Raw genomic sequence first — 21995 nt, 5'->3', positions numbered from 1 at the left:
TTACAAGATGAAGGTACCTTTTTTCCCCCATCCTTAAGTAAGTTAATGCCCCCAAACTTCCTTTAACCTCAGACTCTGAACTACTTTGGTAAGGATGGAGATGGAAGAGTAAATACTTACCCATCTTCTTGGGCAACAGGTAGACATCCTGCTTATAGCGACCCTCAGGAGCATTGTAAAGCTCTATCAAGGCAAGAGCCTAGAAAAGCAGAGAGATGGATGCTGATGTGCCATTCATGGCAATCTACCCAAGCAAGTGAAACCTGGTGGGTCTGAGGACCTTCTCCAGACTACTGCTATCCCACTCTGGAAGCCTTACCTGAGTAGTAGCAGTGATTGAGAGCACAAATGTAGGCACTGTGGAGCAGCTAAGGTTCAGCAGGCGGCCCTAGTGATCAAAGGTGAAGACACAAATGGATTAGGACAAAGTCGCTGGCCTTTGAGAAGTGAGGGAAGAGAAGCATGACCACCATTTTCCAAACACTTCCTGACTAACACTGCTGGAAAAAAAGCAGCTATTCAATATATAAGAACTAACTGACTGACATTTAAATGAAACCACTAAAATTCTGGAAAATCTGATGAAACTAATAGCTAAAAGATTTCTGGAATTATTTAAAAAGGAATACAGATGGTCATATGACACTGAGGCTTATGCCAAATATCAGTGTACTTCTCTTGAATTTTCCACTCTCTATAGCAAAATATCCTCCTTCTGAGGATCGGCATTTCTTTTAAAGACTGTCTTGAAATAAACAATGATCAGTCAAATCCAGGGACAATCTCTCCAGGTTGTGAGGGGAGGTATATTTGGACTTAGGAAGCTGTGATGATTGATTGATTGATTGATTGATTGATTGATTAGATGGAGTCTCCCTCTGTTGCCCAGGCTGGAGTTCCATGGCATGATCTTGACTCACTGTAACCTCTGCCCCCTGGGTTCAAGTGATTCTCCTGCCTCAGCCTCCAGAGTAACTGGGATCACAGGTGTGCGCCACCATGCCCGGCTAACTTTTGTATTTTTTTTTTTTTTTTTGTAGAGACAGGGTTTCACCATAGCTGTGATGATTTTTGTGCTTCTCCTTCAGTTTGCTTCTCCTGAATTCAAAGACAGCATTGTCAGCCTTGTATTTTGAGTTGGTGATTCAGACAGTAGAAGAACTAGAAATTGCCCCCAATGCCACCCTTTCCTATTTTGTTTCCTATGAAGCCTGACCACCTTTTTGCTCAACCATCTAGCCAAAAACACCCATGGTACTTGCTTTTGTCACCAAAATTACCAGGTGGGACCTCCTAGGGCAGCTAGAAACAAGTCATCAGTCAGCAGACTGACATCAAAGCTATTAATGCATATTTGGCAATCTGCCCATCTCCTCCTCATATATACTCCTTCCTTGTGAAGAAATAGTTCAGTCCCTTTACAAATGCCCTGAAGTATCTGAGAAGATGAGATAAAGTGAGGAAAATGTGAAGAAAACAGTAAGGACACTAAAAACTCCTAACTTATGGGCCCCTAGATAAAGACAATGTATATTTTACATTTTCATATTCAGGTTCTTTAATATAAAAAAAGAAAAAAAACCAACTGAAAATCAAAATTGAGAAAAGTATTATTATCCTCCTTGATATTTTGGTATCTTTCTCTGAAGAAGAGAAAGCTTCAAGGTAAGAATAGAAGGCATCTAATATTATAGCTGTCAGGAATCCAGGACTAGGGAAGAGGAGCTTTTAAGAAAGGAAAAGTGGTCAAACACTGACATGGAAGCCAATAAAATGAAAGTCAATAGTGTCAATGTGAGCTAGGAGCTAGGATGGGGAAATATCAATTGAGCAATTGATATCTAGGTAGGTACCTACTACTCATCTGGCTCAATTCAAGGGAATGGACCTTCAAAAACAGGGAATCTATCAGTAAAAACATACATTCCCAGAACTTGCCTAAGATAGTCCTGGTTACAGTCGGGCATATCTACTTTGTGCTTAGTGATTAAAACATCCCACAAGTGACATTATCTCTTTGTATGCATCACTCAAAGTGGCACTGGTTCTATCTGTGAATTCCTTCTATAGTAATAATTATCTAACTCAACCTGTGGATTGACGTGGAGAGACAGGATAATTGGTGAAAAGTGGGGAACCAAAATAGTTTCTTAATTGCTGAATGAAAAGATCTTTCACAATTAGAAGTAAAATCCATTGGGAAAGTAGTCAAACTTGTGCTTAACAGAGGAGTTGAAAGTATTCGAGAACATGAGGAGGAGGGGACCTGGGTATTGCAGTCTCTCCTGTTGTGGGGGAGTATTTTTGCCAGTCTCAGCCTTACCTCTGCCAGCAGTACTATCCTCTTGCCATCAGGCCATATCACATGGTCAACTTGAGATCTCACTCGCTCCCAGGTCAGTTCTGGTGTCCGCAGACTCGCCTGGAACACATACAGCAAGTACAGCATTAGCCATAGCAAGCCCCACTGTGGGAACAGAAAGATGTTGAAGGGAGCCATTTCAAATAGCAGGTTGAAAGGAGCAACCAACATGCCAGATGGAGAATACCTGTCCTGTGTTGGTTAGGACTGTTCCATTTCAGGGAATTTAATCTGAGGCCCAGCCAGGGAGGGATCACTCAGGATGTCATTCCACAACATATACTGTGTGCCCACTCTCACAGTAAAAGGTGCTATGGGAAATACAAAAGAAACCAAAGACATGGTTTCTGCCTTCAAAAAGCTTGTACTTTAGCCAGGGACACAAAACAATATATATGTGAGAGGAAAAAAATGCCCTTAAAATACTTACAAAGCAACATGCAAACAAGTGCAAATTAATACAGTGCAAACTGAATATATAAGTGCTGAAGAAACAAAGAAAAAAAGGAGGAACATAGCTGAGTGGGTTTAGTAAGAGGCCAAATGTCCTAAACATAGCATGCTGGGGCCCAAGGTTCTGCCCTCATATCCGAAGGTCCCAGGTTCCACCTTTTCAATGATGGTGGTTCACCCTAGTTACAGAAGCTTTGTGACCTAAGTGCAAATGTGAGGTAGCCTTTAAAGAAATGCTTAATGGTAGAGTAAAGCTCCCAATGGCTCACCCTCCTTCCATTTCTGTATATTGTATATTCAGAGAAAATGAGAAAAAAGGTTATGTTTTTTTAACAGCAGCAATCAAATAACAGCCACGGGGTGTAGACTTAAGACAACACCTTCTTTCTTCCAACAGGCAATGCCTAAAATAGAAAGTGAGTTCATATTCCAAAACTACCCATTGGCTCATTTGATAAAATTAAGAAGTTCTGCCAAATAGTTTTTAGACAAATAAAAAGAAACGCTTTTAGTTATACAATAATGATTTACAGGGTACATACCATATTCTAGTCATTGTAGTAAAGAGCATGAATATAGATAAGACTGTGGATTCCTTTACTGGGCTGTGAGCCACTTATGGACAAAGACAGTACTTTCTTTTCATTTTTGTATTTCAAGGTTTATTTAAGCAAACAATGGGATGCTAAAGTTTAGAAATTCATGATTCCTATCCCCAAGGAAGTACCAATCTAGTGGGAAAGACATATACAATTATATTTCAGTGCATTCAGAACTATATTAATGGTGTGGACCGTTTCTTTATTAGGTAGATGGGAAACACATACAATTTCTTGAAATGTCAAGTTTCATAAATTGGTTCAACCTTTCTGGAGGACAATTTGGCAGCAGCTAGCAAAATTTTATATGTACCTAATCTTTGACCAATCAGTTTCACTTTTTTAGGGCTCTATCCAATAAAAACACTTGCTCAAGTTCAGAAATATAAGTGCCCAAGAATGTTCAATCCAGGCTTATTTGTAATAGTGAAAAATGTAAATAAATAAGGGAATGGTTAAGTAAATCAGGGCAGTTCCATATAATGGAATATTATACAACTCTTTTTTAAAAAGGTACTACAGCAAGGAGCTCCAAAAAAAAGACAGACATATATGTGTTAACGTGAAAACCATTCACTATTCTTTTTTTTTTTTTTGAGATGGAGTCTCACTCTGTCACCCAGGCTGCAGTGCAATGGCATGATCTTAGCTCACTGCAACCTCTGCCTCCTGGGTTCAAGCGATTCTCCTGCCTCAGCCTCCCGAATAGCTGGGATTATAGGCACCTGCCATCATGCCCAGCTAATTTTTATATTTTTTAGTAGAGATGGGGTTTCACCATGTTGACCAGGCTGGTCTCGAACCCCTGACTTCAGGTGATCTGCCTGCCTCAGCTTCCCAAAGGGCTAGGATTACAGGCGTGAGCCACCGCACCCAGCCCACTCACTATCAAGTTGCAGAACAATATAGTGTAATCTCAATTATGGAAGTTTTTTGCTTATTTTAAGCATATTTGTAGTGTTTGCATTTTTAAACTAAGCAAGTATTACTTTAAAATTGGAATTTTAAAAAATAAATGTTATAAATAAATACTGTAAATTTAAGGGTTAAAAAGAACTTAAGAGAAAGGCACAGTGGTTCATGCCTGTAATCCCAACACTTTGGGAGGCCAAGGTGGGAAGATCCCTTGAGCCCAGGAGTTCAACACCAGCTTGGGCAACATAGTGAGACCTTGTCTCTACAAAAAAAAAAAAGAACAGAATTAGCTGGGCATGTTGGCGTGCGCCTGTAGTTTCAGCTACTCAGGAGGCTGAGGTGGGAGGAATGCTTGAGCCCAGGAAGTCGAGTCTGCAGTGAGCTGAGATTGTGCCACTGCACTCCAGTCTGGGTGGTAACAGTGAGATCTTGTCTCAAAAAAAAAAAAAAAAAAAGAATTTAAGCAAACAGACCATTTTGAGAAGTTAAGGATATACAAAGTAGAATCCATTAGCCTTTAGAGCTTAGTGCCATGGAGGTTAATAACCACAAAGAGTCAAGAGATACTCTTGGTGACAATGGCAGTTTTTATTGAGATGACAGGAGTTTAAAGTATTTCAGGTTCTTAGTGTTTCACACCCCTAATTTTCCAGAGGCCAAGCAATCTTGGTGATTGGGAGCTAAGAGCTAAAACCCATCTTTGGAAGTATTCCTTGGGAAGAAAGGTATGGCAGAATCAAGGAAAGGACACTTCTTATAAACATAAGAAAATAACCAGTGCTTAGTAGAGGCAGTTTACTAAAGCACTGGAATGGCTATGCTGTAGGTGAAAGCCTGACAGTAAGTTTAAAAAGGGGTTTGAAGAGAAACTTGGTTAACTTATCTCTACCACTGTCCAGGAAGCTCCAATAACCTGCCTATTAAGGCCTAGTCAGCAGTCACATTCCTCAAGAGCAGAAGGGTTTCCTACCTTACGGCTGGCACAACTTGACAAGAATCTCTCTTAAAAACATCCAGTTGTCTTTGCTGTGGACCTATAATCACTAAACAACCTACCGGGAAAAGGGATTCCTGTGCAGACTACCTTCCCAAACCAGGTGTACATCCCACCATAAACTGGCCACTCATTATGCTTGCACAAATTGGTCTTATATAATTCTGAACAGTGCATATCCGGTTTTTTTTTGTTTTTTTTTTTTCAGGGAGAACAACTGTAGTTCTAGTCCTGTAAAGCACAAAGTCTCAGGTTAAATCGTTCTTCGGCTGGAAAAAATGTTTAAAGCCTATGTACTTACTGGTTTGACCACCTGAATTGTGAAGCTTACAATTACACAGGCCTTCTATGTGATACACATGGGTAAGCAGGTCTGCTTTTTTCTGAGACGGAGTCTCACTCTGTCATCCAGGCTAGAGTGCAGTGGCGTGATCTTGGCTCACTGCAACCTCCGCCTCCCGGGTTCAGGCGATTCTCCTGCCTCAGCCTCCTGAGTAGCTGGGATTACAGGCACACGCCACCATGCCCAGCTAATTTTTGTATTTTTAGTAGATATGGCGTTTCACCATGTTGGTCAGGCTGGTCTTGAACTCCTGACCTCATGATCCGCCTGCCTCAGCCTCCCAAAGTGCTGGGATTACAGGCGTGAGCCACCACACCTGGCTGCAGGTCTGCTTTTAAGACAAAGCAAACATATAAAAGAAAGATACGGCCAAAAGACAGTGGAGAGCATAATCCCTATCCCAGATCCTTCAGTATTCACAGCATTCATATTTCTCAGAAAAAAAATGCAGCTTTCTAAATGACCAACTCTTTTGATGAGCTACTCCTTCTTAAATATGCAACAGGCAACATCTCAAGGTTAAACTATGAATTCCTACCAAAAAAGGAAAAAAAACTCTTTAAAAATTTTGATTACTAAAAATATCTCGATACTTACCAAATCATTCTCCCACAGTTTCACTGAGTTGACTGGTACTGATTTCCCTCTTTTTCTCATAGTGTGCATCCAATCCATTTAGCAAATTCCATTGGTCACAATGTATCACTTCTTATCACCTCTACCACTTGTCCATCTAATCCAAGCCACCACTTTCTACAGTCAGAAATACTGAAAGAACCTGCTGTTATCCCTATCATTAGTCAAGCTCCAGAGGGTTTTCTTTATACAAAAGCCAGAGTAATTTTATTTTTAGAGACAGGATCTCACTATGTTGCCCAGGCTGACTTCTAACTTCCAGGCTCAAGCAATCCTCCCACCTCAGCCTCCTCAATAGCTGGGGACTACAGGCATGAGCCACCACACCTGGCCTCCAGAGTAATTTTTAAAAACCTAAGTCGGCTGGGCGCGGTGGCTCATGCCTGTAATCCCAGCATTTCGGGAGGCCGAGGCTGGTGGGTCACGAAGTCAGGAGATCGAGACCAGCCTGGCCAAAATGGTGAAACCCCGACTCTACTAAAAACACAAAAAATCTGCCAGGCGTGGTGGCGGGCGCCTGTAGTCCCAGCTACTCAGGAGGCTGAGGCAAGAGAATTGCTTAAACCAAAGAGGCGGAGGTTGCAGTGAGCCGAGATTGCACCACTGCACTCCAGCCTGGGCAACAGAGCGAGACTCTGTCTCAAAAAAATAAAAAATAAAAATAAATAAATAAATAAATAAAAACCTAAGTCAGATTTTGTCACTCATCTATTCAAAACCTCCCAATGGCTTCTTTCAGAATAAAATCTAAAGTCCTTAACATGACCTGTAAAGCTCTACATAGCCTATACCTCCTTGAGTTAACTCTTCTCCTCACCCCCTTGCCCAATGTTCCTGCTACAGTGACTTCTTTTCTTTTCCTCAAACACATCAAGCAGGTGTCTCCCTCAGGGTCTTTTACCTGCCATTCTCTCTGAACAGAATGCTCGGATGGCTTGCTCCTTTATTTCATTCAGGTTTTTTAAAGTGTTATCTCCTCAAAGAGACTTCCTTGACTACCCTAACTAAAATGGAATCCCCAATACCCTTATCTTGCTATTTGTCTTCAACACTAACAATAACAATCTATTTCTTTATTATTTGTCTCCCACATTAGAATATATGCTCCCTGAGAGACGGGATATTGTTCACTGTCATTTGTTTAGTAAATTGGTATCTGGCACAGAGCAGGTATTCAATATAAATTTGCTAAACACTGAATAAAAATTCGGTTTCAATTACTAGTTGAGTTTGATATTTCCTTGAATTTCATTTTACATGCCCTGTGACACTATCACCAAAGGTTGAATAATTTAACTTTTCAAAAGTTCCTCTGAGCATCTCCTTTTCTGGACCATTTAGCTTAGCTATATATCTTCCGCCAAGAAGAACACAAAGAGAAGTGAGAGATGGCCCTTGGCTCATGTGACTGGTAGATATGGGGGCCACCTGGCAATACTTGCAAAACTTGGTCTAGTCTCAACACAGCAACCAGGGCAATTCTTTTAAAATAAAAGCCATCCTTTAAAAACGTAAGTCAGATTATAAACCCTCAACAGCTCCCTAGTTCTCTCAGGATATAATCAGGAGTTCTTACAATGGGCTATGAGGCCCTCTAAGATCTGGCCTGTTACCCCTCTGACCTCATCTTCCACTCTTCCTTGTCCTACGCTCATTCTCCTCCAAGCACACTGGCCTCCTTGTTGTTCCTCAAACAGACTAAGCACACTCCTGCCTGAGGGCATGTGTACTGGCCTTTCTCTCTTCTTGAAATGCTGTTTACATAAAAATCCACATGGCAAATTCCTTCCAGTCTGCCTCAAATATCATCTTTTTTTAAAAAATTTTTTTTGCCGGAGTCAGGGTCTCACTCTGTCACCCAGGCTGGTGCGCACTGGCACGATTTTGGCTCACTACAACCTCTGCCTCCCAGGCTCCAGTGATTCTGCCTCAGCCTCCCAAATAGCTGGTACTACAGGTGCAAGCCACCACACCCAACTAATTTTGTTTTGTTTTTTTATTTTTTGTAGAGATGAGGTCTCACTATGTTGCCTAGGCTGGCCTCGAACTCCTGGGCTCAAGTAATCATCCTGCCTTGGTCTCCCAAAGTGCTGGGATTACAGGCGCCCACCACCACACATCGTCTCAAACATCATATTCTTTTTCTTTTTTTTATTTTTGAGATGGAATTTCGCTCTTGTCACCCAGGCTGGAGTGCAATGGTGCGATCTTGGCTCACTGCAATCTCCGCCTCTCGGGTTCAAGCAATTCTTCTGCCTCAGCCTCCTGAGTAGCTGGGATTACAGGCGCCCACCACCACGCCCAGCTATTTTTTTTGGATTTTTAGTAGAGACAGGGTTTCACCATGTTAGCCAGGCTGGTCTTGAACTCCTGACCTCAGGTGATCCACCCGTCTCGGCCTCTCAAAGTGCTGGGATTACAGGCGTGAGCCACTGGGCCCGGCTCATCATATTCTTAATAAGGGTCACAGCCTGATCTATTTCAAATTATAATCCAGTGCTCAATTCTCCCACCATGCTCTACTTTTTCTTTTTTCTGTGGTGCTTTTGCCTTCTAACATAGTATAAATTTTACATATTTATTATGTTTATTTTCTTCTCACTATGATATAAGCTCCATGAGGGTAGAAATATTTGCTTGTTTTGTTCACTGTCTCCAAGCATTTAGAACAACAGCTGGCATATAGCAATCATACAAAAAATATTTGTAATTGAAGGTGAAGAGTCTTCTGGTCTTTATCCTAGGAGGTTACTTATGTCTGGGCTGCCTCTGAAGGAGAGATTACCATCATGATTTGAAGTTAATCCACAAGTCATGAGGAGATAATAAATACAACACACAGGAAAACAAAACAAAGAAAACTAGACTAGGAGTAAAAAAAAAACCCTGGATTTTGTGCACTGGTTTCTTTTTTCTTTTTGAGATGGAGTTTCGCTCTTGTCGCCCAGGCTGGAGTGCAATGGCGTGATCGCGGCTCACTGTAACCTCAGCCTCCCGGGTTCCAGCAATTCTCCTGCCTCAGCCTCTGGAGTAGCTGGGATTACAGTTGTGTGCCACCAAGCCCAACTAATCTCTGTATTTTTAGTAGAGACAGGGTTTCATCATGTTGGCCAGGCTGGTACTACAGGTGCAAGCCACCACACCCAACTAATTTTGTTTTTTTTTATTTTTTATAGAGATGAGGTCTCACTATGTTGCCTAGACTGGTCTCGAACTCCTGGGCTCAAGTAATCATCCCGCCTTGGCCTCCCAAAGTGCTGGGATTACAGGTGTGAGCCACCACACATGGTCTCAAACATCATATTCTTTTTCTTTTTTTTTTTTTTGAGATGGAGTTTTGAACTCCCGACCTCAGGTGATCCACCTGCCTCAGCCTCCCAAAGTGCTGGGATTACAGGTGTGAGCCACCGTGCCTGGCCTGTGCACCAGTTTCATCTTGAATCAATTATATGCCTGACAAGGTAGTTAACTTCTTAGTTTCCCAACTGAAAATTAAGAATAAGAATAATGCCTCATGGAGTCGTCAAAAAGATGAAATGAGATAAAGTAAAAATACAAAAGGTACATCACTGCATTTGGAATTATTTTTATTTCAGAGCTTCTTGAGGGTTTAGGAAGGAAAATTCCTTCCCCTTCCCTTCCTCTGAAGATTTCCCATTAGGGCCCAGGGCATGACATGAATACTTCCCTTTAGGCCTTTCCCCTTTGGGGGCTCTAGAAGCAAAGTCATCCAGGAAATGAGAATCATTTGCTGGATCATTTTAGAAATACTAATATCCTTGATCATTCAGCAAAGAGGCAGTATAGCACATAAATGAAACTTAAGCAAAAGAAAACTAAAGAACCAACTACCAACTAAATTGTTCATTGTAAGCAAAATATCATGGTAAGAGAGAGTAATAAGGCCATACCACTCAGACACCCCAGGGTAGAAAGGGGCTTTGGTAGGTTGTTCTGCCAGCTATTTTTAATAATGGAAGAATAGAGCACAGAATTTAAAAGGGAAACCATATATAATAAATATTATCCAATAAGCTCTCAGTACATCAGCTGGTCCTTACCTGGCAATGCTGAAGCTCAATCAGAGCAGCCCTCAGTGGAGATGAAAGCATACTTTGCTTAAGCCAGTTACCCAGAGAGAAATACAAGCGTGCCATAAAAATGCCAGAAAAATTTAAAACCAGAGTAAAAGTCACACTGAGAGATACTTTGGTAAGTCTGAAAAGAAATAAACAACACTTGGCTGGGTGTGGTGGCTCATGCCTGTAATCCCAGCACTTTGGGAGGCAGAGGTGGGCAGATCACAAGGTCAGGAGTTTGAGACCAGCCTAGCCAATATGGTGAAACTCTGCCTCTACTAAAAACATAAAAATTAGCCAGGCATGGTAGCGAGCACCTGTAGTCCCAGCTACTCTGGAGGCTGAGAAAGGAGAATCGCTTGAACCCAGGAGGCAGAGGTTGCAGTAAGCCGAGACCGCGCCACTGCACTCCAGCCTGGGCGACAGAGTGAGACTCCGTCTCAAAAAAAAAAAAAAAAAAGAAACAACATTTCTATTAACTATTACTTGGGCAACTTATTAGTACCAAGTGCTATTTTGGATTGGAAAATTTTAGGGTGAATATAACCAAATTAGAGAATCAAAGTGATATATTTTCCAGGTTTGAAGAACACATGCTACTACACAATGGTGCTGAATTGATTATGACACCTGCAGACACAATTACTACAGTTTGGAAAACATGTGAGGGGTGACCTCGCCCAATAAAAGAGAGGGATAAAAGAAGAAACCGCAGTATTTGATACACACAGTCAATCCTAAGCAACATAATCATCCCAGCCCATAGATTTCTCTCCCTTATTTCCTTGGACCAACCTACTTATCTCATCTTTATGGTAAAACCAAACACCCCCAAAATACTGACTACCATACTGATTCACATTCATTGTATCACTTAGCTCTGAGTTTCTATCATTCATTGTAGTTTTGAGTTTATCTTGCTCTCAATCCTAAACATACAGATAAGGCTTATGGTGTAAACAGGCATCGAGCTTGAATAGAAGATGACAATCATTTAGAATTATTAAATTGAGATGAAGAAACTTTATAGTCTCCAAAAACACAGGCTATAGGGCTAGTAAGTGAAAAGATGTGGACAACTCTGCCAGGATAGTCATGTTTAGGATGGCTTGTGACCCTGCTCTCTCATTTTCCAGTTTGCTTCTTGTGAAGGAGAGAAAAAAGCCCCCAATAATGAGCTACTTGATCTTACCACGTCAATCTCTGTGTTGGAATGTCCCATGTTACAAACGATGCAGCTATTCTTCATACGGTCCAAGTGCTCTCTGGTTACCACATTCTTGTTACCTTAAAAACAGAAGAGAGGTCTGAGCAGCAGTGGAGAAAGATAATCCACAGAATGAGAAAATAAATGTGCAAATCATATAACTGATGAGGGACTTGTTATAAGGAATTCTTACAACCCAATAAGAAGAAGACAACTTAAAAATAAGCAGGCCAGGCCAGGCGCGGTGGCTCATGCCTGTAATTCCAGCACTTTCGGAGGCTGAGACGGGCGGATCACAAGGTCAGGAGATCGAAACCATCCTGGCTAACACGGTGAAACCCCATCTCTACTAAAAATACAAAAAATTAGCTGGGTGTGGTGGCGGGTGCCTTTAGTCCCAGCTACTTAGGAGGCTGAGGCAGGAGAATGGCATGAACCCGGGAGGTGGAGCTTGCAGTGAGCCGAGATCGTGCCACCACACTCCAGCCTGGGTGACAGAGCAAGACTCTTTCTCAAAAAAAAAAAAAAAGCAGGCCAGGCATGCTCACTCATGCCTGTTATCCCAGCACTTTGGGAGGCTGAGGCAGAATCAATAACTTGAGCCCTGGAGTTTGAGACCAGCCTGGGCAACATGGCAAAGTCCCATTTCTACAAAAAAAATACAAAAATAAGCTGGGTGTGGTGGCATGTGCCTGTAGTCCCAGCTACTAGGGAGGCTAAGGTGGGAGGATTGATTGAGCCCCATAGGTCGGGGCTGCAGTGAGCTGTGACTGCATCACTACACTGTAGCCTGGGTGACAGAGTGAGACCCTGTCTCCAAAAGAAAAAAAAGAAAAGGATCTGAATCGACATTTCTTCAGAGAAGATGTACAAATGGCCAATAAACACATGAAAAGATGCTCATCATCATTAGTCATCAGGGAAAATGGAAATCAAAACCACAATGAGGTACCACTCTACGCTCACTAGGATGGCAATATCAAAAAGACTGACAATAACAAGTGTTGGTGAAGATATGGAGAAATTAGAAGGCACATGTATTGTTGATGGATTGTAAAATGGTGCAGTCACTTTTAAAAAGTTTGGCAATTCCAGCCAGGCGCAGTGGCTCATGACTGTAATCCTAACACTTCGGGAGGCTGAGGGGGGTGGATTGCCTGAGCTCAGGAGTTTGAGACCAGCCTGGGCAACATGGTGAAACCCTGTCTCTACTAAAATACAAAAAATTAGCCGGGTGTGGTGGTGTGCGCCTGTAGTCCCAGCTACTTGGCAGGCTGAGGCAGGAGAATCCCTTGCACACGGGAGGTGGAAGTTGCAGTGAGCCAGTATCGCGCCACTGCACTCCAGCTTGGGTGTCTCGAAAAAAAAAAAAAAAAGTTTGGCAATTCCTAAAAATGTTGTTTTTTTGTTTTAAATCACTCAAGTGATTCTCCACTTCAGCTCCTCGAGTATCTGGGACCACACCCAGCTAAGTTTTGTATTTTTTTTGGTAGAGACAGAGTTTTGCCATGTTGCCCAGGCTGGTCTGAACTCCTGGGCTCAAGTGCTCTGCCTACTTCGGCCTTCCAAAGTGCTGGGATTACAGGTGTGAGCCACCACACCCAGCCTGAAAATGTTAAAAACAAAGTTACTATATGATCCAGCAATTCTACTCTTACTATACACCCAAGGGAACTGAAAAAATATGTCCACATAAAAACTTGTATTCAATGTTCATAGCAGCATTATTCCTAATAGCCAAAAAGTGAAAACAACCCAAATGTCTACCAGTTAATGAATGGGTAAATAAAATACAGTATAACCATACAATGATACATTACTCAGCAATAAAAAGGAATAAGGTACTGATATATGCCATCACATGGGGAGGCCCTGAAAACATCATATTGAATGATTCCTTTTTTTTTTTTTTTTGAGAAGGAGTTTCACTCTTGTTGCCCAGGCTGGAGTGCAATGGCACAATCTTGGCTCACTGCAACCTCCACCTTCCAGGTTCAAGCAATTCTCCTGCCTCACACTCCTGTAGCTGAGACTACAGGCACCTGCCATCACATCTGGCTAATTTTTTGTATTTTTAGTAGAGACGGGGTTTCACCATGTTGGCCAGGCTGGTCTCGAACTCCTGACCTCAGGTGGTCCACCCATCTTGGCCTCTTGAAGTGCTGGGATTACAGGCGTGAGCCACCGTGCCCAGCCATAAATGATTCCTTTTTAAAAAAAATTATTATTTTTTCCCCTTCTTTTCACAGGTGTTGCTATGATTCCATTTATATGAAATGTCCAGAATAGGGAAATGGTGGTTGCCTAGGCCTGGCGGATGATGGAGGATGGAATAAGGAGTGACTGCTAATGATATGGGGTTTCTTTTTGGGGTGATAAAAATTCGATAATTGGGATGTTCTACAACTTTACTAAAAGCCATTGAACTGCATACTTTAAAAGCGTGAACATTACAATGTGAATTACAACTCAGTAAAAACATTAGATTGTGGTGATGGTTGTACAAACTCTGTGAATTACTAAAAAACAGTGAACAATTTAAATGTGTGAAATGTGCAGTGAATGAATTACAGATCACAAAAAAGCAATTAAAAAAAAAAAAAGGTCCAGGCTGGGCAGGGTGGCTCACACCTATAATCCCATCACTTTGGGAAGCAGAGGTGGGAGAACCACGCTGAGGCCAGGAGTTTGAGACCAGCCTGGAGACTGAGACCTCATCTCTATTTAAAACAACAAAAGAGATCCAGGGGATTGATATGAACCAAGAACAGCTTCTTATGGTCCCTCTTCTCTGCCCCTATTTCTTCCTGAGGCTACAACTACAATTTTTTTTTATTCTGTCTGATTTCCCCCTCTAAAATAGAATTAGAAAACCAGTGTTCCTGTAGTTTATGGTTCCACATAAAAATAAGTATCTTACCCTAGAGGAAACTAGCCATTTCTGCATATTCTTTAAAACTCAAAATCTACCTCTTTGGGAATTAACAGAATAACCTCGTCTACTTTCTCTAACTATGAAGAATTTCTCTCTAGCCTTGCCTTAATTACATACTAGAGAGAAACATACATCACTTTTGGAGGTAAAATAAAAAATCAAGTGTACATTTAAGATCTGGCTTCCCGGGGAAGGGGCTAGGTCGGCTTGAAAAGAGATTATGACTGTACCTTTTAACTCTGTAGCTGGAACACAAGAAGTGTTTGTTTAATGAATGACGTACACATTTAAGATCTGTTTGGACGCTGAGGATAATCCTGTGAATTGCTAATAGTTCACTGGGTTTGGCCCTTAGTGTTGACTTCAGTATGCTGAGACGGAAACCAACACGCCTAGAGCTAAAGCTTGATGACATTGAAGAGTTTGAGAACATTCGAAAGGACCTGGAGACCCGTAAGAAACAGAAGGAAGATGTGGAAGTTGTAGGAGGCAGTGATGGAGAAGGAGCCATTGGGCTTAGCAGTGATCCCAAGAGCCGGGAACAAATGATCAATGATCGGATTGGTTATAAACCCCAACCCAAGCCCAATAATCGTTCATCTCAATTTGGAAGTCTTGAATTTTAGAGATGGATTATCTTGCATGCCAGAGCGCTGGAATGGAATAAAATGATGGCAGAAGTACAAACCAGATTTAGAGAATTGAGTGCTTGCAGTCAAGCAGAATGTACCTCCTGCAGAGACAAATCTTCTGCATGAGATTACTGATGCTTCACTTGCACTCTAAGCTGGAATCCAAACTCTGGTTTGTCTCTTGAAAATTTGACTCTATAAAACTGATCTGATTTTCTGTTTTTAAAAATAAATATATTTTTGGAAAAAAAAAATATCTGGCTTCCCAAATAAAACTTTATAAGTGAATCTCATCTCTAGCTATCTCCTAGGATGAATGGAGATATAACAGTTGTCTTCAAGGGTGAAGAGAAACATTTTTACATAGGAATAACCTAATCGTATACCTTTGGTCGGAGCTCTAAAGAATTAGGAAGAATGTGAAAGACTGGCTGGCTTTGTGGGCTACTATCTCTCTCTAGCTTTTAGAGTTTGGTTTTTCAGAATATTTCCAATCATCTTGCACCTGCTCCATAAAAACATTCCCAAGTGCCACCCCATTTAAAATGTCATTATCATACCTGTACAGGTAATAACAATGTCCACTTGTCGGATGACCTCATTTAATTTCACCAGTCGAAATCCATCCATACTGTTGAAATAAAGCATGACCCATTAACCTAAACAGGCAGCTGGGGAGCCTTTTAACACAGGACTTCAAAAGCTAATATCAAGTTGCTGTCATTTCTTGAGATAGCTGAACTATTCTTAGAAGTGAAAAATCCAAACAATTTCCTTAGTTCATACAAGACAGAAATAAAAGGTTCGTTTGCATCACGGAACTTATTTCTTCCTGATAATAGGGAGCCAGGGGCTACCATGAGATTCCCTGACCAAATTTCTAGAAACTGTAGAAAGTGCCACTTAGCCATTTAACCAACTACCCCATTGAAACTGCTCTCTCCAAGATCATCAGTGATCCCCCGAAGGCCAAACCCAAGATTTCTTAGACTCTTAACTGTGTGTGTTTTTTTTTTTTTAGAGATGGGATCTCACTATGCTGCCCAGGCTGGAGTGCAGTAGCTAGTCACAGGCATAATCATAGTGCACTACAGCCTCTAACTCTTGGCCTCAAGCAATCCTCCTGCCTCAGCCTCCTGAGTAGCCAGGACTATTGGCATACACCACCATGCCCAACTTCTTAGACTCTTATATTATTTGATTTCTTCTACTACATTAAACATTATTTGCCTTCTTAAAACTCTATACCCCTTGGACTCCATGATACATCTCTCCTGGTTTTCCTCTTACTTCTCTTAATTGCCTCTCCTCAACTTCAGCCAACCTTTGGATATTGGTGCTCTGCAGGGTTATGCCTTTATTCTTTTCTCTATTCTTTCAGTATAGAGAACCATACTCTTCCTTTGGCTGCAAATGACTGCTGATAGATGGCTGATTTTTACATTTGTAACTTTAGCTTAGATCTCTCTGAAGCTTCATAGCCAAGGATCAAATTAGCCACTGGATAGCACCTCATCAATGTCCCAGAAGGATCTCAAACTTACTGTGTTTGAAAATAAACTTATTATTTTCTCTGCACCCATAATCTCATCTATTTCTTCTTCTATATTTTCTATCTTGATCAATAGCATCACTGTTCATCCAACTGAATGAGCCATATAAACAAGAATGTCCTTGCTGCCTCTCCTGAATTGAAGTTGTCACCAAATCTGGGTGACTCTTTTTCTTTAATTCCATAAACGTCTCTTTCATCTCTCTACTCTTCTCTAATACATACTGGCCTTGCTTAAGTTTAGGTCTTATTACTTCTTGCCTAGATTACTATAGTAACCCCTGGCCCAATCTCATTGCCTCTAGGTTTACATCTTTCTAAATCATTTGGCAGAGTGATTTTCCTAAATGCAATTTGGATCATGTCGCTTCCTTTCCTTAAAATACTTCAGTGAGACTGCCTGTTCTTAAGGATAAGACAGGATAAGAGTAAGACCCAAATACTTACAGTGATATGTGATTATATTGACATATGACTCCCATGACTCCTACCTTAGATAGTACCACTCCCCCAAATGTATTTCATCTGCCAACTACATTAAAATATTTCTAGCTTCTTAAATCTGCCATGCTATCTCCTTCCTTGGAGACAACACACATGTTCCCAGTACCTGGAATATACTTCCAAACTAAGAAAACACCTATACAAATGTCAAGACTCAGCTCTGCTGACATCTCTTTCTACCCTGCTCCCTTGCTCTTCAGTAAGCAATTTCTCCTTTATGCTCCTACAGAAGCATGTGCCGTTTAACTCCATGACAGCACTTACTTTGCTGCACAGTGGTTATCTGTCTGTGTGCTTCTAAAAGCAGGACCTTATCTCATTTATATATTCATCTTATTCATTCTCAGCACATAGCACAGTATCTAATGCATAGTAAGTGATCAATTCGTGTCTACAGGATAATCTGAACAGGATAATCTGAACTGTTCAGTATCTGAACAGTATCAATTTGTATTAAAATATGTTCAGGTTCCTAAACTCTTAGTGTACCAGAAGGATGATGGTTCCCCTAGGCTACAGACACTTGGACTCTGCAATAGTTTTTAAGAACAGTGGTATTTCCCACCCTGCTGAGGATGGCAAGAGACAATTTTAATAACAGCTATTATTTAATGAGCATATATTATGTGGCAGCAGCTCTGTACCTTATATAATTATGTATTTGTTATATAATGTATAATATAGAATAATAATTATTTTGAGACATGGTCTTGCTGGGTCACCCAGGCTGGAGCGTAGTGGCATAATCACAACTCACTGCAGCCTCCACCTCCCAGGCTTAGGTGATACTCATACTTCAGCCTCCCAAGTAGCTGGGACCACAGGCATGCACCACCACACCCAGCTAATTTAAAAAAATTATTTGTAGAGATGGGGTCTCCCTATGTTGCCAAGGCTGGTCTCGAACTCCTGGGCGCAAGCAATCCTCCTGCCTCAGCCTCCCAAAGTGCTGGGATTACAGGCATGAACCCATTACACCCAGCCTATGCTAATTATTATTTTACTGAACTCTCACAATCCTATGAGGTAGGTATGATTACACACATTTTATAGATAAGAAAAGTTTTAACTTTTAATTTTAGAATCATTTCAAACTTAAGAATTATAATACTAGTGTAAATAATTCTCATATATGCTTCACTCAGAGTTAGTAGATTTTACCCTTAACTGGGATTGGTCTAATGTTTCCTCACAATTAGATTCAGGTTATACATTTTTGGGAGGAATACCACAGAAGGGCTATTTTCAGTGTAACACATCAGAAGGCATCTGATGCCTGCCAATTTCTTTTCTGATCATTATTTGAAAGGCAAGTATCATACATGGAGAAGGTAAGGGGCTACCTGTTCTCTGGCTGACAGAATCCCTGTTACTATCTCCACAGGATTTCTAAATTTTCGCTTTTCTGATAGTCTCTGCTCTCTCCAAGCAGAGCTCCTTGACCTTTTTAAAAGACAGATGCTTAGAGTTAGTGGCAGCATCTCTGAGGATCTGGGCTCCTCTAAAATAAAGTGTGGCATCAACCAGGCCATTCTTTGGAGACAGCTCCGAGATTGCAAGTGAGATGGTAGCGTAGAGGCTTACCAGGCTTGCAGGGCACAGATGGGGTCAATTTCAGTTACATACACAATGGAGCCCATGGCTTTCAGGGCAGCACAGCACCCTTTCCCCACCTGAAGAGGGGAGAGAGCACACATATTAAGGAAAGTCACTGAGAAAACCATTTCTCAAAGCTTCTGGTAAAGTGCACCCCCTCTTTCCACCCCCGAGAGGAATTTCACTGAATAGATTCATACTTGGGGAAAACGAGAAGAACAAATAATTGAATGCAGCTCATAAACAAACCCCTGGCTCCTGCTTATCGCATTCATGTGCACAAGAACACCCACACTCACGATTCATAATTAAAACACAAGCTAAAAAGAACATCACAAACGGTGGTACTGGAGCAAGTCAGAAAATCAACTTAAGGGAAAATGGCGGCAACGCAAAGGGAAAAAGAAAGTCTACTTCAACCAGAAGGCCTCTGAAATTCTTTTTCTCATCTAAAGTGGTAAAGGGTGTACTCATATGTCCATACAAATAAAAAATTCCAGAATATTTCAACAAAATCCATTTAAAACACCTAATAAACAAAAGGTTAAACTTCACCTCTCCATAGCCACAGACTACCACTTGCTTTCCACCAAACATCATGTCTGTTGTCCTTTTAAGTCTAGGGGAAAAAAAAACATTAAATCAGAAAAATCTTCTCTTGTTTCTCCCTTGAGGTTAGATTGAATCTCTTTGTTTTCATGGGGTTTTTTGGTTGGTTTTTCATTTTGAAAGAAAGTCTGGTTTCTTTATTTTTTTAAAGGGGTTTTCTGGTAAAGACCAGAAAACCTGCTAGACAAATTCTAAAAGACCTGTAACACTGAAAGTCTGGTTTCTATCCTAGAGAAACTAATGACCAGACAGGAAGGTTAAATAAAATACATATTTTCTCACTCCCTGCCATCTAACCAATCCTATATGTAAGGGTTTTTTTCCTTTTTTTTTCCCCTTTCTTGCAAGTGGTGCAGAAAGGAAGAAGATGTAGATAACACAGTAACTTTTAAACATAAAAGCAACATACATTTATTAGATAATATTTTGAAAATATAATATTTAGAAATAGAAAAGATACAAAGGAGAAAATAAAAATAATGTAATTTTAATTTATGAGGTGACAAAGCTCTGGCTTTATGGAGACATTATCCAGAGGTGCTACATGAATCCTTTCCAGAAATAACCAAAGCCAAAAAACTTAGAATCTCAACTGGACATCACAACTTCATCTCAAAGATAATAAACATTACCCATCAAGAATTGATTCACGGCAACAGTAGAGGTTGTCAAATTTCTGTTTGGTGACTGAGTCATTGACATTCATGGCTGGAACACACAGCTTCCCAGCTTTGGACAGTTGGTACAGCCTGAGGATGAGGGAAGCCAAGAACAAAAAACACCAGGACATTACAATCTACCATTGCTTTCATAGGAGGCCCCAGAAATACGTTGATTGGGTAGGCATGAGACCATGAGACATGACTAGTTTCATCCTGTTAGGTGGCCACTGAGAAATAAAGAATATCTTTCTAGAGCCTGCATATATAGCTTCACAATAAAGATTTTATTCAAAAGTCATGTGGGGGAAATCCTTGACCCACCTCTAAATTTTAAGGCCTTCACTGGAGACTATAAAAAGTGGGAGAGTGGGAGCGGGTTGAAGGTTGAAAAATTACCTACTAGGTACAATGTTCACTAAATCTGCACTGGTCTCCCTGCCTGCCAGAACTACAAGTGCATGAGACTACGCCTGGCTGTTTGTGCTTTTATTGTTTGTTTGTTTGTTTTGAGATGGAGTCTCACTCTTGTTGTCCCCGCTGGAGAGCAATGGTGTGATCTCAGCTTACTGCAACCTCTGCCTCCAGGGTTCAAGCGATTTTTGTGCTTCAGACTCCTGAGTAGCTGGGATTATAGGCGCCCGCCACCACACTCAGCTAATTTTTGTATTTTTAGTAGAGACGGGGTTTCACCACGTTGGCCAGGCTGGTCTTGAACTCCTGACCTCAGTTTTGTACATTCAAAAAGATGATAATGTATTGAAGCAGTGATGGTGGCTGGTTCAGAATTTACTTCCCTACAACTTTTTTTTTTCATACTTTTAGTTCTTTATGGGTGAAATAAATCATAGAAATGATCACAGAAATTGAACTGAAATAATTCCAATTTTACTCAGAGAATTATTACTCATTTGAGAAGCAGAACCCTACATCCTTGCTCTCCATGTAAGAATGTAAGCTCTAAGATGGCAGAGTTTTTTTCTGTCTGTTTTGTCTACTGCTAGATTCCTAGCATCTAGAGCAGTTCCTCATTCATTGTAGAAGTTCAATAAATATTTGTTGAATGAATGAATGAATATATGTGTCCAAAAAGGACAAGTTAATTGTTTACAATCACTAGAAAACATGAGGACTTCACTTGTTCTCCCACCTGCCCCCTTCTCACTATTTTAGGTTCATTATTTGTGTTGTTAATTAAAAAAAAAAAACAAGAGAGATCTGCTCACCTCATAGCAAGCTGAGATCTGGTCACCTCATAGCAAGCTGAGATGTGGTTACCTCATAGCAGGCTCCAATTTTTTTTTTTTTTTTTTTTTTTTTTTTTTTGAGATGGAGTCTCGCTCTGTCACCCAGGCTGGAGTGCAGTGGCATGATCTCTGCTCACTGCAAGCTCCGCCTCCTGGGTTCATGCCATTCTCCTCCCTCAGCCTCCCGAGTAGCTGGGACCACAGGCGCCCACCACACCAGGCTAATTTTTTTGTATTTTTAGTAGAGACGGGGTTTCACCGTGTTAGCCAGGATGGTCTTGATCTCCTGACCTCGTGATCCGCCCACCTCAGCCTCCCAAAGTGCTGGGATTACAGGCGTGAGCCACCGCGCCTGGCCCAGGCTCCAATTTTTAACATGTGTTTTATAGGTATGTGTTTATAAGATTTTATGTCTAGACTGCATAAAACCAGGTATGCCCATGTCAAATCTTACCTGTGAACTCCAGTAACACTCTCCTCTACTATGCCCTTGATTTTCTTAAACATGTTGGGATACTTTTTATAAATCCAGTGGGTAAGATCCCCTCCATCATCCAAGATCTGCAATAGTAAGCATCAATAACATCATTCACTTTGCTGAAGTCTCAAGGCTTCAGTGCTTCTCTGGGTCTTGCATCCCAATCTAATTAGCAATTTACAGATATTTAAAATT

General features: G+C 41.0%; 1 protein-coding gene and 2 pseudogenes across 17 annotated transcripts in view, besides 1 other annotated feature; 1 reads left to right on the top strand and 2 right to left on the bottom strand.

Moving 5' to 3' along the window:
- AHCYL2 (adenosylhomocysteinase like 2) overlaps positions 1–21995 on the bottom strand; it is a 205182-nt gene that overhangs the window by 4950 nt on the left and 178237 nt on the right. For all 17 annotated transcript variants that reach the window (NR_171671.1, XM_047420088.1, XM_047420087.1 and 14 more), the window contains 9 exons: positions 21777–21883; positions 20049–20165; positions 19363–19426; positions 18796–18884; positions 15716–15786; positions 11574–11668; positions 2324–2422; positions 320–388; positions 121–199 (listed from right to left, as the gene is read on the bottom strand). Coding sequence is in view for 16 of the 17 variants with exons in the window: in XM_047420088.1 (XP_047276044.1) it covers positions 121–199; positions 320–388; positions 2324–2422; positions 11574–11668; positions 15716–15786; positions 18796–18884; positions 19363–19426; positions 20049–20165; positions 21777–21883 (790 nt within the window). In the remaining variant the exon portion in view is untranslated. The remainder of the gene's footprint in view (positions 1–120; positions 200–319; positions 389–2323; positions 2423–11573; positions 11669–15715; positions 15787–18795; positions 18885–19362; positions 19427–20048; positions 20166–21776; positions 21884–21995) is intronic.
- Positions 5675–5876: a silencer, noted in NCBI's record as "fragment chr7:129059227-129059428 (GRCh37/hg19 assembly coordinates)". NCBI's record gives its function as "represses an EF-1alpha promoter that drives an FKBP-Casp9 reporter gene in an ReSE screen in K562 erythroleukemia cells {active_cell/tissue: K562}" and the evidence as "EXISTENCE:reporter gene assay evidence [ECO:0000049][PMID:32094911]".
- CDC26P1 (cell division cycle 26 pseudogene 1) lies at positions 14706–15404 on the top strand (annotated as a pseudogene).
- RNU7-16P (RNA, U7 small nuclear 16 pseudogene) lies at positions 19566–19627 on the bottom strand (annotated as a pseudogene).

This window comes from Homo sapiens, chromosome 7 (genome assembly GCF_000001405.40).
Source record: "Homo sapiens chromosome 7, GRCh38.p14 Primary Assembly".
NCBI lineage: Eukaryota > Metazoa > Chordata > Mammalia > Primates > Hominidae > Homo > Homo sapiens.
This window is presented reverse-complemented; position numbering and strand designations above follow the sequence as displayed.